The sequence below is a fragment of the Homo sapiens genome, chromosome 8, assembly GCF_000001405.40.
Source record: "Homo sapiens chromosome 8, GRCh38.p14 Primary Assembly".
NCBI lineage: Eukaryota > Metazoa > Chordata > Mammalia > Primates > Hominidae > Homo > Homo sapiens.
This window is the reverse complement of record NC_000008.11, coordinates 81,811,488-81,827,032: the sequence shown is the minus strand read 5'-3', so window position 1 is coordinate 81,827,032 and position 15,545 is coordinate 81,811,488. Positions and strand designations below refer to the sequence as shown.

Below are 15,545 nucleotides of genomic sequence, written 5' to 3'. Positions count from 1 at the left end.
AACACTAAGAAACACACAGTTTAAATTGTAGTTATCATTGATATAATTGTAAAAAATAAAAGCTTAGGATTTTTCATTTTACAAAATCAATCATGAAGTATTTATGAAATGAGTAGATAGAGTTCAGCATTGTGCTAGGAATTTGGAGTTACTCTTATGTAGAAACTATATAGATGTGATTCTAACTTTAAGGAATTTACATTTCCCAGTTATATAGTTGTGAAGTACAAATAGCTAATTGGCAATACAAAAATTATTGAATGTGCTAAAATAACACTGCTTAGAAAGAGAACATTTATATAGAACATTAATATTTTCTTTTTGTTTTATTTTTATTTCCTGGGTTATGGTCTGACTTCAACTTCTCTGGGAGTGATAAGAGCCTCTGCTGAGGAAGTCAGAGGACAAAGTCATGAGCAAATTCTGGAATGCACAGGGCTTATCAGAGTTGGGGCAACCAGGCGGGGTTTTAGGGTGGACTGGGAGATGCATTGATTGTAGAAATATGGCCATGAGAAGTGAGTTTTTTTCTAAATTCTATTTAAAATTGAAGCTCAATATTTCTACTTCCAGGTTACAGCAGTAGGACAAAGCTGAACATTTCTGTGAGGTAAAATTACTGTTCTCAGTTGCTTCCAGGCAGCAGAGCATAGGGAGAGAGAGAGCAGGACCTTACCAACTCATTGTCAAGACATTCCAGGTTCATATAAAAAATCTGTGGCAGATGCAACCAGGCATTCAGTCCTCACATTAAAAAGAAGTTCAGTTATATTCTTCCACATGTCTGTCTCTTGAGTCACGCTGCTCTCTCCTAAACTGATCTGCCCTCCATATGAGCTTTGTAAGTGGCATCCTGAGATTGCCTTTCACTGTCTTTCTGGCAATTTTTTTTCATTTCTCTCCTTTGTTGGATCTTATTTTCTCTATCCCTTATCTTCCTCTTCTTGAATTACCCAATTGTGGGACAACTCCTTCTTTTCTGTGGACAATTTTTTAAGGGGAAAAAAAAAATCTAACCATTTAAATTGTAAATGGTTTTTATAATTTAAATTATAAAGCTTAAAATTAATAAAAAGCCTATTTTCATTTCCCTCATGTCTTTTGTTATTTAATTTTCTGTCCAGATACATTAAATATCAAAGCTCCAAGGCCATAAATATCTAATTACATCTTGAAATCAAATTAAGGTTTTAGTTATCTAAGTTATTCTCTAGTTTTTGCCTTATTTATTTTATCTTCACGTTTATAGAAATATAGACAGAATGTTATAATTTACCATTTTTCCACTATTTTATGCAGTGCATTTTTCCTTTGTAGTTGTGATATTCATTTTATATTTAAGTATAGAAATGCAAACATACACGGATTCATTTCAGTCATTCATTTATTGAACATATATTGTTGACTGCTTGTTATGTAGCAGGCACTATGCTAGACATTAAAGATGCAACTATGACTAAGGCATGCATAATAATTGTAGTGTAGTAAAATGGTTCTCAATCTTAATTACACTTTGGATTCCACTGGAAAGCTTTTTAAAATTACAATGCCCAGGCCTCATTTCAACTAATTAAATCCTAATCTATCAGAGATGGGAAACAATCATTAATATCTTTTAAAACTCCTGGGTGATTCTAATGTGCAGCCAGAGTTTAGAATCACTGGTCTACTAAGACAGCCTAAATTAAATGTGCTGTTTACATTGTGAATGATGTCATTAAAGAAATAAATTCATGATTTGACAATGTGTGTCAGTTTGTCTTTTCTAAAAGTGGCCACAGCAGTATGTTTAGTCCCATATGCTCTTCCTGAATCTTGCCACTGCCCATCAAGAGATAGAATACATTTCCCCTCCCCTTGAACCTGGATGGTCTTGCGACTACTCAACCCAATAGAGGTCAGTGGAAATAATGCTGTGTGAGTTTTAAGCCTAGATTACAAGAAGTGCACAGTTTCATTCTGGCTTGCTTTCTTGGAATGCTCCCTTTTGAAGCCAGCCTCCATGCTGCAAGAAAAGTCCAAGACACCTGGAGAGGCCAGTATTAGGCTTATGGCTGACAACCTTGGCAAAGTTCTCAGCCAGCAGCCAGCATCATCCACTATAGATGTAAGTGAGTGAACTTCAGACAGTTCCAGCACCCAGCCTTCAAGTCTTTCAGCTGAGGCCTGAATTCATTGCATAATAGAGATATATCATCCTTACTGTACCTCATATGAATTATTGACCTAAAAAATCTGTGAGCTTAATATTAAGAAATGGTTATCTTGTATCACTGAGATTTTAGGTAATTTGTTACACAGTTGTGGTAACTTGAACAGAATGTAAAAGGGAAGACTTCACTTAGTTTACAGGGTTGGGAAAGTCTTCCCTAAGAAAGTAAAATTTAAGCCAAATGTATAAAATAGGTCATAACCAGAATATAAAAGTTAAAACTAAACTTTTAGGAAAGACACATAGAAGAAAATCTTTACAGCCTTGGAGTAAGCAGACTTTTTTTATGATCTAAAAAAAAGCATAAACCATAAAAGAAACAATGGATGAATTAAATAACATTAAAATTAAAAAAAATCTGCTCTGTTAAGACAAATTGAAAAGTCAGGCCAAGTTGGGAGAAAATATTTGTAATGCATGTATCTGACAAAGGACTTGTATCTGAAATATATAAAGAACTCTTATAACTTAGGCAACCTAATTTTTTTAAAGGGAAGGTGCTAAAAAATTTAATACATAATTCACCATTGAAGATACTCAAATGCAAATAAGCAGATGAGAAGATATTCAACTTCATTTGTCAGCAAAGAAATGCAAATTATAGCCAGAATGAAATGGTTCTACACCCCCACTAAAATGGTTAACATTCAAAAGATGGACAATGCCAAGTTCTGGCAAGGATGTGGAAAGACTGGAACTCTTCTGTATACACAGCTGGTAGAAAACAAGAAATAAAACAAGGCATAAAAAGCTTAACTGAATTTAATTCTTTTATTTTAAACTTATTTCATGAATAATTTCATGTAGTCAACAGGATAGATTTTGTAGAATTGATAGTGCTTGAGTTAAACATTGTATTTGCTCTTTTCTTCTTTTTCAGTTAAAAGAGATGTTTCCAGGTTTTCGACTAGCACTTCCTCCAAAACGCTGGTTTAAAGATAATTACAATGCTGACTTTTTAGAAGACAGACAATTAGGATTACAAGCGTTTCTTCAAAATTTAGTAGCTCACAAGGACATTGCTAACTGGTATGTAACGAATTGAAATAAGAGATTATAAAAGCATTCCAATAACTGGCGTAAATTAAAGAATAAATCTATGATCATAGTTATTTAAGCACAAAAATACAGGGTTGGAGTATAATTACTTGTCTTCTTTAACAAAGTACTACAAGAGATTTTCTTGCTTTCTTTCAATAAGGACTTTATTTGACATTTCATTTTTATCAAAGCTTATTTTAAATAGTCAGTAAAGTGAAAAATCCAGTGTACCATGTACTAAACCACCCAAAGGTAAACTTTTAGTATTTTGTATTTTAGCAATGACTTAAACAAAACCACTTACATATTAGTAAAATTTTGGTTAATATGATACTATGTAATTGTAAGGGTAATATTCTTTATATTTCTCCAAAGTAATGCAAAAATATTAAAATTGTGAAATTGGCTTAATTTACATAGAAGGTAGAGTGAAAATACCAAACAGCATTAAAAAAGGAAAAGAACAGATCTATGTGGGTTTTTTGCTTCAGAATATATTTACAAGAAAATTGCTTAGTGGTTCAATATCAGCTGAGTATCTAATTTTGGAACTTATGTTATCAGATAAATTAAAACTACTTTGAAAAAAAAAGTAGAAAGCATTTACAGTGTAGCAATAGCTTATAGATAACTTGGGCCTGTAACTGTCTTGGGCAGTTTTTCACATGAGGATGGAAAACAAATTAAGAAAACCATTCTATCTAATTTTTTCTACCTCTTTTTCTCAACCTTTGCATGTATCAATTTTTTTCCTGCATGACACACGTGCGATATATATATATAGATATACACACACATATGTGTATATATATATATATATATATATATATATGTATATGTATATATATATATACACATCTTGCTTTTCAGTGTGTGCCACATAAGCCTGATGGCTTCTCAAGGTCTCTGCCCATCCTCCCTTATTTTTCTCTTAATGAAGGAACTACAAGCCAAACCCATTCTTTCTACTCCAGATTGATATATGCAGTTGTCTCCTCGACATCTTCAGATATCTCAAAATTACGTCAAACCTAAAACATATTTGAAAGTTTAGTATGCAGACTTTTTTCCTCCAATTTGTAGCAGCATCATCTACCCAGAACCTGTGAGTCATCTTTAACACATCCTTCACTACCCTTAACATTTCCCTTGCAAGTACCACTCAAGTCTGTCTACTTCTCTCCATCCCTGCCATCACTACCCTAGTCCAAGCACGTATCTCTCACCTTAATTACTGTAGATGCTTTCTCACTGGTCTTCCTCCTCCCCTCTTACTACTATAGCCCAGTAGAGCCACAGTGATCTTTGTGATGCAGTTTGACTTATTCTTTCTGGTCCCTGCCTGCCTGCCTTCTTTTCAATCTTAGGTTTTGTTATTCCTGCCCACCTCCCCTTCTCTGTACATTTGCCATATTGGTCTTCTTTTAATTCTCCAAAATCAGCTTGCTCCTTGTTTCTCAGAGCCTTCAAATATGCTATTTCCTGAAAAGGCAGCCTTTCACACTACTACCCCATCCAACCCTGACCTCGTACCTTACCCATCCTTCAGTTTTCAACACAAACTGCACTTCGTTAGGTAACTGGCCTCCTGACTGACCACTCACCACCACTACCACCACCACCAAACACTAGGTCAGTTCTCTATCACAGAGTCTGTACCATCCCTTCTCAACTGGCTCTGATGCTTTAAGACACCGTTCATCACCCACAGGTAATGAATTAACTTATTTCCTATATTCTAAGATGATACTAGCTATGTGCCAGTCTCAATAGAATTGAGACAATCACTTAAATCATTATCAGTAGGGGTCAGTTCTCTCTTGGAATCTCAGTTGAGAAAGGCTAATTGGTACTTCACTTTCATAGCATTTCAGCTTATAATTATTTCTGTCAATATTTGTCTTTCTCCCACCAGATTGATTGTAAGATGTTTAACAACAGGTCATGTGGCTATTTTATTCACCATCCAATCTAATGTTTAGCACAGCACTAACATAGTTGGTTCTCAATAAGTACTTCTTGAGTGAATGATATAACTATTGATATTCACTGATATACTGTGTATTAGAAAAAAAAAATTGAAGCCAATGTGACAGAGTTAGCGATTATGTGGTCTAGGTGGTGAAAACATTAGTGCTCCCCACTTTATATATATATATTACATCTCAAAAGAAAAAAGAGAAAAGATTAGTGTTAATTCAGACACACAAAGCAGGAATAAAAACCAGTAAACACCAAAATTATAGAGAAAGCCTTGGAAGAAAATATGTTTAATAGCATACCATAAAAGAGGACTTGTACTACCACCAAGAAGTCGACATATCCTCTCCCCTTTTCTCTTGTCCCTTGTTCGGTAAACCTTTATGTCTCTGTATTTAAAATATTATGGTGAATTAAAATCAAATGTATTCTATAAATGAATTCTCTATTTTTAAAATACTGATAATAGATCTTAGTTGCTAAAGTAGAGATTACTAGGGCCATTTGAGATCCTGTCATTTCTAAAGCTGCATAGCTCAGAACAGTGGTAATGGTCTTGCTCAATTCATAAATAGGCATTTTAGGCAAAGAAAGGTTTCTTAGCTAAATAAGTTGGGGAAAGGTTTCATTTGATATCCCTAAAGGATTAAAGGTTCTAAGAAATCTTGCATGAAAGAATCTAGTATGCCTTGCGTTTGTTTGCCTACCTGCCTTTGTCATATATTATCAGGCATTTAGGGAATGCAGGAAGATAACCTCAATTCAATTAAAAGCAGGGTACTTGTGCCTTGGTACTCACTATCTTTTTTATAGGTGATGGGTGGCATTTTTTGTTTCACAATGTAAGAGACTTCTTAATAACATATTGCTTAAAATGTGAGTCAGAGAAGAGGAGGAAGGGTTATTCATACAGAGCAAATCTTATGCATTTGCCCTGTGTTAAAGGGTATAAAAGAGGGGATATATACTCACTGGTTTTAAAATTCATTTAGAGAAATTAGGCTCCTGTTTAAACAAAATAATGACATTTGTGAATTGCTACTTGGTATGATACATTTTATAAAAGTAACAAGAACTCAAAGAAGCGGGGAGATCAGTGCTGTTTGCAATGGTCAAGCAGTACTGAGAATGGGATTTGGGGAGCCTGGAATGCTTAAGATTATGGGTAGGAAAATGGATATAAGTCAGAAACAAATAATTAGAAAGTATATAGAAAGTCTGAGGTTGCCAAATATTTATGAATTGATGGTTGATCCATTAAAAAACTAGCACAGTACTTTCCTACATTTTTTGAGATTATATCTTGTCATCCCTCAGTACTGTTCCTTCTATGAAATACATACCTAATTCTAAATGTATCACAGACTAAATTATTGCACTGATTCTGCCATCAGTACTACTGTTGTACTGCACAGCCAAGATTTTAACTATCTCTGCAATCTAAATTCAAATAGTAGTTGGAGCATAAGGTAGTTCATCAGACAAAAGCTTGATTGTATCCAACAAAGTAGGAGAAGAGGGAAAGAAGATTGTCTCATTTTTTACAATTAAAAAGGAAGGGGGGGAAATCCCTCCTAAGGGAGAAAAGGAAAAAAGACAAAATCTCAACATTTCTTTATGAAAACATAAAACTGCTTGTAAGAATCACTACATAAAAACATCAATTAGTTGCATATTACCTGCTGGGATGCCTGTTAGCATTCTGGTACAGTTGGAATGGCAACATAGAAAAAGCTTAGTATCTTTAGCTGGCCAAATAATTATTTGATATTGTTTATACATTCATATTAATTGTTTATTAATTGTTCTTTCACTTTTTGTATCCTTAGCACCTTACAACAAGGCTAGTTCTTAACCTTCCTCTTGGCTAAGCCCTTACCATTACACAATGGGCAGCCCTTAATGCTACATATTCTCCAACTCTTAACAAAGCAGAAATGGAAGAAAATACGAATTGAATGGATGTTAAGGACTATTGATTTGAATATTTTAAAAGAATGTTGTTTTCAGATTTATTTAGAAAGTTCAAAGTAAGGATGCAGATAAAAACATTAATATTTACATAATAAACAGATTTATTAGAGATTTTATCTGTTCAATAAATATTTATTTAGAGCTTACTATTTAAAAGATGCTTTGACTATATAAAAATGAGTTAGATACTCATCCTATTTAAAAAAACTGAATAGAAAGAAGACATACCCCCAGAAATCATAATGGATAGTTAGATCTCTTTTAAAGGTGGAAAAGAGAACTTTTGACTAGGAAAATTAGAAAAGGTTTCGCAGAGGGTGATAGTTGAACTGCACTTTAAAGAATTAGTGATCATTGGCCCAGCAAGGAAAGATGAAGAAGGACTTTGCAAATGATAGGAAATATCATAATCGAAATGCAGAAGCAAGAAGGTACAGGTCTTGTACCAGGAACAACATGCAAGTCAGTTTATCAAGGTGAATATAGTCTTACATTGCACAGTCTTAGTTAAAATATAGCTATTTGTTTTACAGTGTCTTGAACTACTTTTAAATTATTATGTCATTAATCAGCACAGCAAATACTTTACCATTCTCCATTTTTAGAAGTACTTCACATGTATCTTACATGCCATTTTTTTCTTTTTAATTTTTCGAAATTCAAAAGTTAAAGTTATGTATTTGTCTTCACACTATCATTTATCTGTAAGGGATTCAGTACGAAAATTCAGTATTTTTAATTCTACATCTATTTTTTTAAAGTTCAGGATGGATCTGGATTAATAGCAGTTCATGGCTTTAAAGAAAAGAAAATAGTATCCAAACATTAATATGACAGAACAATTGAAATAAATGAGAATATTCTTTTAAAAAACTACTTGGGAGATATGATAGCCATCTTTACATACTTGAAAGATTTGAAAGATTGTTTTTGGAAGGAAGGATTGATCATGTATATTTAAGAGTAGTGCTTCTCCAACTGTAATGTGTCTGTGAATCACCTGGGATTTGTTAATGCTGACCCTGATTCAGCAAGCGTGAGGGGAAGATTTTGCATTTCTAACAGGTTTCTAGGTGATGCTGATACTGGCTGGTCTAATAACCTCATTTTGAATAGCAAGGCTAACATATAAAATAGGAATAACAACAAGAAGTTAGAGGAAGGTACTATCAGCTCAGATTTTAAAAAGTTACTTGTCATTTCAAGCTGTCCAATATAAAAATGTTCTGCCTTTTGAAAAAGTAGATTTCTCTTCATCTTAACTATTTGAAGAGAGTAGATAACTATCAGTGGTATCAAAGAGGGAATTATTAAATGGGATATGTTTGATTAGATGACAAGTTAGGTTTCTTCTAGTTAAAAAAAATTCAATAATTCTCTACTTGAACAAGAATACTTAAAGATAACTTTTGTACATTTGCAACCTGAACTATCTTTTCACAGGAAATGTGATCATTAATGTCTCTAAGTTGTTTTTATTTTTTTAATTTAAAAAAGAAAATTTAAGATATTCAGAGAAGTTAATCTTAGTATTTATATAAAATGAAAGAAGAATTCAGTTATTTACACAGTAGTTCATATAATGCTATCTCATGAGAATCAACACATTACTAAGGTTGGTTGGATGGTTTTTGCTACAAAATGTTATTTTGGTAGAAATTAAATTACAGATAGTTATAAAATTTGCAATAAAGTCAAATATGTTGTTCTTAAGAGCATAGTTTGAAAATACGGTAAAACTCTTTAAACAAAATTCAAGAGAATCAAAGAAACAGGTGAATTTATAGTACAGATTTGCTCTGATAATTAAAACAATGCTGAGGGATACCATAGGTGATTTCCTTATCTGCCTTTAGTAAATTAAGTCAACACCTGACCCCAATTTTAAAATAGGTTTCCCAAACACAGTAAAAATGTATTCCAGATAATAAAAGGAATAATGGCACACATAGACAGTCAATAAATATTCACTGGATCTAAATAAAGTTATGTAGTCAGTGATTCTCAAGCAAGGGTGAGGGTTTCCTTTCCTAGGGGGAAAAATGTATCAGAATTTCTAAGAAAGGAATTGTTTTCTCAATTACTACCATCTTCCAGAGATTCTTGTGTGTCCTCTCCTTAGAAAGAAAATAGAGTTTGAGGGTATTGACTGCTTTCTTTACTGACTGAGTCTTGTTGAAGCAGAGGAAATGTAATGAGCCACTGAAAAGGTTTTATGTAAATTAACATTGTAAAGCCAGTTTCAAATTTTATTCTGCTACTGATTAAAGAAAGTAAAGCATAGAGTATAACCTTGGAACTATATGGATAAAAACTTAAAGAATCCATTGGATTTCATGTAAGTAGAACTCTAGTGAGCCATAGATCATAAAGATTTTTAGGGAAGGTGAATGAAACAGAATAACCACTCCAAAATGATTCCTCCAGCTGGATACACTGTCAACATTCACTGTCCATCTTGGCTAAATTTCTACTGTAAACCAAAGATATAAAAAGGGATATATGTGTACTCCTTTACCCCTTTTTCTTTCCTAGCAGTAGCAGTCCAGTAGAGTAATTTGTAAACATAAAAGCAACATTAAAGTATGAGGAAATTTGAATATAAAACTGTAAGAAAATAATGTCTCACATTTGTCATATACTGAAAGTATTAAACAGGACCCTTCCATATGTTTCTTAGCAGTTTGCTTTCAGTCTTAAGTGCTATTTCCTCAGGGTTTCATACAAACTTGACCTCTCAATCCCAGATCAATTGATTTCCTAGGAGTCATTTGTATGTAATAGCAGGTGCCCCAGTATAAATAATGGGTGGATAGAAGCATAATATCTACATCAGAAGACCTTGTTCTATTCTGTGCTATCAGCCAACTGCAGTTTTCTACTAGAGGCCATGACTAGAGAGGGTTGCAGATAAATCAGATGTTTTCAGAGAGAAGTGTCCAGCAAGGAGAATCCAAATGAACCAAAGCATAAGACAGAAGAATTTAAAGGTAGAAAAGGACACATATTCACACTCAGGGAACAGATTGAAAGTACAGCTCTACCACCTGCACTTTCTGACAATAGGCAAGTAATTTCACCTCTCTGAAATTCGGTATCATTTGTGAATGAAGATCCAATACTTATCCTAATCTTACCTGATTGTCGTGAAAATTAAATACAATAGAATATGTGAGCATATTAAATACAATAAGATATGTAAAATTCCATTTAACTCTTCATGGACACCTCCTGACATCATCAACCTGTCTGGCCTAATCTGAAACCAAAAGCCCCATTCCCTTTTAGCATAAGTTGACATCCCCTTTTTGTAGTGTATCAAGAAATCCTGGCTGGGTGCGGTCGCGGTGGTTCGTGCCTGTAATCCCAGCACTTTGGAAGGCTGAGGCGGGCGGATCACCTGAGGTCAGGAGTGGGAGACCAGCCTGGCCAACATGGAGAAACACTATCTCTACTAAAAATACAAAAATTAGCTGGGTGTGGTGGTGGAAGCCTCTAATCCCTGCTACTCGGGAGGCTGACGCAGGAGAATCGCTGGAACCCAGGAGGCGGAGGTTGCAGTGAGCCGAGATCACATCACTGCACTCCAGACTTCAGCCTGGGCTGTTAACAAGAGCGAGACTCGTCTTAAAAAAAAAAAAAAAGAAAATCCTTTGTAAAAGGAAATTTGTAAAGATTTTATTTTGCAAATCTAAAATAAGGATCCACATTTATATTTTGATGTGTACATAGAGTTGTCTCTCAGTTCAACAGTCCAAACTTGCTTTTTAGAAAGGCAGGGAGGCATTTTTATTATAAGGAAGTTTGGTTATCTACCTCCTTAACCTGTTTCTCTGATAATAGCAAAGTATAAGCATAACAATATCATTTTTTAATAACTATTTTAAAATTTGTGGTCATTTAGAGATAGGATGGTTAGAATTTTTTCTCTCGAACTATCTAGGGAAAATATTTAAGTAAATTAATATAATAAACATGATTGCAAGGTCAGTCTTTAACTTGTTTGAGAGTAAATGCTTTTCGGTCACTTTAGAAGAATCTACTGAAACAAAAACAAGTGAGGTATAAATTAGAAATTGCATTTATTCATAAAAGGATAATGACTGTTAGACTAGTTCAGACTAATATTTCTTTGAAAATCATAAAGAGGCTATTCACTATGTTGGTCTCTTGAACCATTATTGTGAAGTATGTTTTATGCCCCATAGTTTGTATGTAACAATAAATTTGTGATATTTATGTTCTAAGATCTTAGAAAACACCTTAAGATCTTTGCATCTTCTATAGTTTTATATTTATATTTAGTTACTTGTATGAAAACACATAACCAACTTGTTTAAAACACTGTACAGCTTCAAAGTAACTTTTGCTTTTTGCTATCTTTTGCAAACTTATTTGTACTTCAGATCATTTTTTTTTTCCTTTGAAAAGCCTTGCAGTGAGAGAATTTCTTTGTTTGGATGATCCACCGGGTCCATTTGATAGCCTAGAAGAAAGCAGGGTAAGTGCTGTATTATATAGCACATGAAAAGAGGAACAATTAATGCAGTACAATAACTACATTGTTTCTTGGATGGAATAGCAAACAGCAAAATATTATAATTTCAGGCTATGGTAGTTTTGCACAGAAAGCTTTCATGTTTGAGTCAAAGGTTGCTTTCAGTGAAATACATAGACTTAGCTCAGTGAAAAAGTAAAAATTCATATATGTCTTATAGTCAATAAAGCTCTAAAATTAAATCCTGCATTATTTTTACTGTTTCAAAAAAAATGATTTGGGGGACCTTTTTATATTTAATAATACTATGTGTAAACTGAGTTTTCTTCCATTTGAGTGTCAAAATAAGGAATGTACAGCTAAAATCAAATTTAAAACTTCAGGGGTAGGAGTGATTATCTTGTTATCGGTTTAGCTTGTGCCTGATGCTTCTCAAATTACATTAATTGACGTGTTAAAGTGTCCTGTTTCTTGAAGCAATAGCCTAGATTCACAAAACAGATTTGGTAATAGTAGATTAGCTAGGATTTTATGCAAGTTTTTTCCCCAAATGTTTAATGGCATTTAAATGGAACAGATTTAATTGGTAGGTTTGTAATGTTTTCATTCAAGCTGAGTCAGTTCTTTGTGTTAGATTGAATGCCCTGGCCTTTTTAAAACAGCTTTATTGGAGTAATATTTTCATCCATAATATTCACCAATTTGTTGTTTGCTATTCTACTGAAAATGTACAATTTAATACTTTTTTGGAAATTTATAGAGCAGTTACCATCATCACTGTAACCCAATTTTAGAATATTTTCATCACCTCAAAAAGAATTCCTATAAGCCATTTTGCAGTCAGTCTGCACTTCCAGCCCAAGGCAACCACTGATCTGCTCTCATTCTCTACACATTTGCCCTTTCTGGATATTTCATATAAATAAAATCATACAGTGTGTGTTTGTGTGTATTAGTTTACCATATACATAACTTTTATATATACAGTCTGCCTAATATATAATATACAGTATTATAATCTTTTACACCTGATTTATTTCACTTAGCATGCTTTTGAGGGTATTCCATGTTATCCTCTATAATTATTTCATTACTAAATGGTTTTTCATTGTTTGCATATACCACATTTTGTTTATCCAGTCACCCATTGAGGGATACTTGGATTGTTTCCAGTTTTGTGATATTATGAGTAATGCTATGAACAATTTCATATAATGTTTTGTGTGAACATATGGCTTTATTTCTCATGGACTGAGAAATTCTACTTCCCTAAGAGTAGAAGTGTTTGATCATGTAACAAGTTTAACTTTTTAAAGAAACCAATAAAGTTTTTGAAAGTTGCTGTATTCTATTCTCACTTGTACTGTACGAGAGTTTTAGTTTCTCTATGTCCTCACAAACATTTGATATTATCTCTCTTTTGGATTATAGCCATTCTCTTGGATAGGTAGTGATATTTCATTATAGCTTTAATTTTCATGTTTCTAATGATTTTTTGATATTGATATCATGCCACATGCTTTTTAGCCATTCATGTTTTCTTCAATGAAATGTCTGTTCACGTCTTGCCCATTTTTTAAAAAACCTGGGCTGTTTATCTTATTCAGTTATAAAATCTTTACTTTAGATATTAATCCTTTATCAGAGATACAATTTGTAGATATTTTCTTGCAGTCTGTAGGTGTCTTTTCATCCTCTTAATGGCATTCTTTGAAGTGCAAAAGTTTTTAATTTTAATGAATTTATTTTATCACTTTTTTAATGGCTTATGCTTTTACTATTGTATTATAAAAACTCTTTGCCTAACCCAACATTACAAATATTTTCTCATATATATATTTTTAATTTTATATTTTAGCTCTTACAGTTAGGTTTATGGTCTATTTTGGGTTAATTTTTTTTAAGGTATTAGGTAAGGGTCTTAAGTTCCTATACCTATCTTAATTTTTTTTTAGTTCGTTTTGTTTAATTATGTTGACACTTCTGTCAGAAATCAAATGACCATGAAAAGAAGGGTTTGTTTCTGGACTCTTAATTCTAGTCTGTTGATCTATTTTCCTGTCCTTGTGCCAGTATGATACTGTCTTGTTTACTGCAGCTCTATTATCATTACTGTTTGCATAGCATATCTTTTCCCATCCTTTTACTTTCAATCTGTTTGTATCTTTCAACCCAAGATCCATCCCTTCTACATAGCGTGTAATTGGGTCTTGATCTGTTATTCTTTCCGACATCTGTCTTTTACATCTGCCATTTTGCAATTTGTTTTCTGTTTCTCTCATCTGTCTCCATCCCATTCCTCCTTTTATCTTGTGTAAAATAATTTTTAGTATGCCATTTTGATTCTTCTGTAGAATTTTTTACTTTTTCTTATTTTTCAGTGACTGCTAAAGGTATTATATTTCAGTGAAATATAAACTTGGCTCCAATATCTCTCCGTTTCCTCCCTCTTTCTTTGTGTTGCTATTGTTATCTATTTTACATATATCTTATAAACCTAACAATACAGTGCAATAATTATTTCTTTATACAGTCTTTTGTGCTCTAAAGAACTTAAGAAATGGGAAAATATATTTCATAGATTATTTTATTTAATCCACGTGTTTACTATTTCTGGCCCTCTTCATTTCTTCCTGGAGGTTGATGTGATCATCTGGTATCACTTCCTTTCAGTCTCATAATCTTCGTTTAGTTTTTCTTGTAAGACGGGTCTGCTAGCAACAAATTCTCACAGTCTTTGTTTAGCTGGAAATGGTCATTTTTGAAAGATAGTTTTACTGACAGATTTTTTTCTTCCAGCACTCTGAATGTGTCATTCCACTGCCTTCTGGCCCCTATTATTTCTGATAAAAAAAAAATCAACCTTTATATTGTTTCCATGTGCATGATGAGCCATTTTGCCCTTGCTGCTTTCAAGATATTCTGTTTGTTTGACTTTCAGCAGTTTGATTATGATGTATTGGGGTGTAGATCTCTTTCTGTTTCTCATGCTTTGGCTTCATTGAGCTTTGTTGACTTGACAGATTAATGTTTTATATCAAACTTTGGAATTTGTTAGCCATTATTTCTTCAAATACTTTTTCACTCCCTTTTTCTCTCCCTTCTCCTTCTTGGACTGTCATTACTTGTATATTTGTATACCCTGTGTTGTGCAAAATGTCTCTGAAGTGCTGTTCATTTTTCTTCAATTGCTTTTTTCTCTGATCTTCAGATTGAAAATTTCTATTGATCTTCAGATTCACAGATTTATATTTCGGTCATATTAAATCTCCTGTTGAGCCCCTCTTGTTAATTTTTCAGTTACTGTGCTTTTCAACTCCAAAATTCTCAATTGCTTATTTTTTAACTGTTCTTTCTCTTTATTGAGATTTTTCTATTTGTTGACTCATTATCATTATCCTTATCATTAATTCAATTTTTTCTAGTTTATTTCATGTACGTAATGGTTGCATTAAAAATCACTGCCTGATATGCCTAACATTTGGGGCCGTTTAGAGATAGCTTCAATTGACTGCCTTTTTTCCTGAGTATGCTTAGATTGACCTTGTTTCTTTGAGTGTTTTGTACATTTATTTGAATACAAGATATTTTAGGTGATACACTGTAGCAACTCTTGATTCTTAATCTCTGTCTCCTATAGTGGTTATTATTATTTTGTCTGTCTGTTTAGTAACTTGCCTGGACTAAATCTGTGAAGTTTGTCTCCTCAGCAATGTGTGGTCACTGATGTCTTTTCTCAGTGTTTTTTTCCTCATTTTATTTTTAAGCCTGGCTTTCTTGTATTTCTGCATAGCTTAATGTTCAGTCAACAGTTGGTCATAAATTTTGCTTATATACCTC

The 15,545-nt window shown here is 33.1% G+C and overlaps 1 protein-coding gene across 13 annotated transcripts in view; it reads left to right on the top strand.

Moving 5' to 3' along the window:
• SNX16 (sorting nexin 16) overlaps positions 1 to 15,545 on the top strand; it is a 42,603-nt gene that overhangs the window by 15,153 nt on the left and 11,905 nt on the right. For 8 of the 13 annotated variants that reach the window (XM_005251282.5, NM_152837.3, NM_152836.3 and 5 more), the window contains 2 exons: positions 3,093 to 3,241; positions 11,639 to 11,708. In XM_005251282.5, coding sequence (XP_005251339.1) covers positions 3,093 to 3,241; positions 11,639 to 11,708 — 219 coding nt within the window. Of the gene's footprint in view, positions 1 to 573; positions 611 to 3,092; positions 3,242 to 11,638; positions 11,709 to 15,545 lie in introns of all 13 variants that reach the window. The other 5 variants (NR_145473.2, NR_145472.2, NR_145475.2 and 2 more) reach the window with 2 other exon arrangements.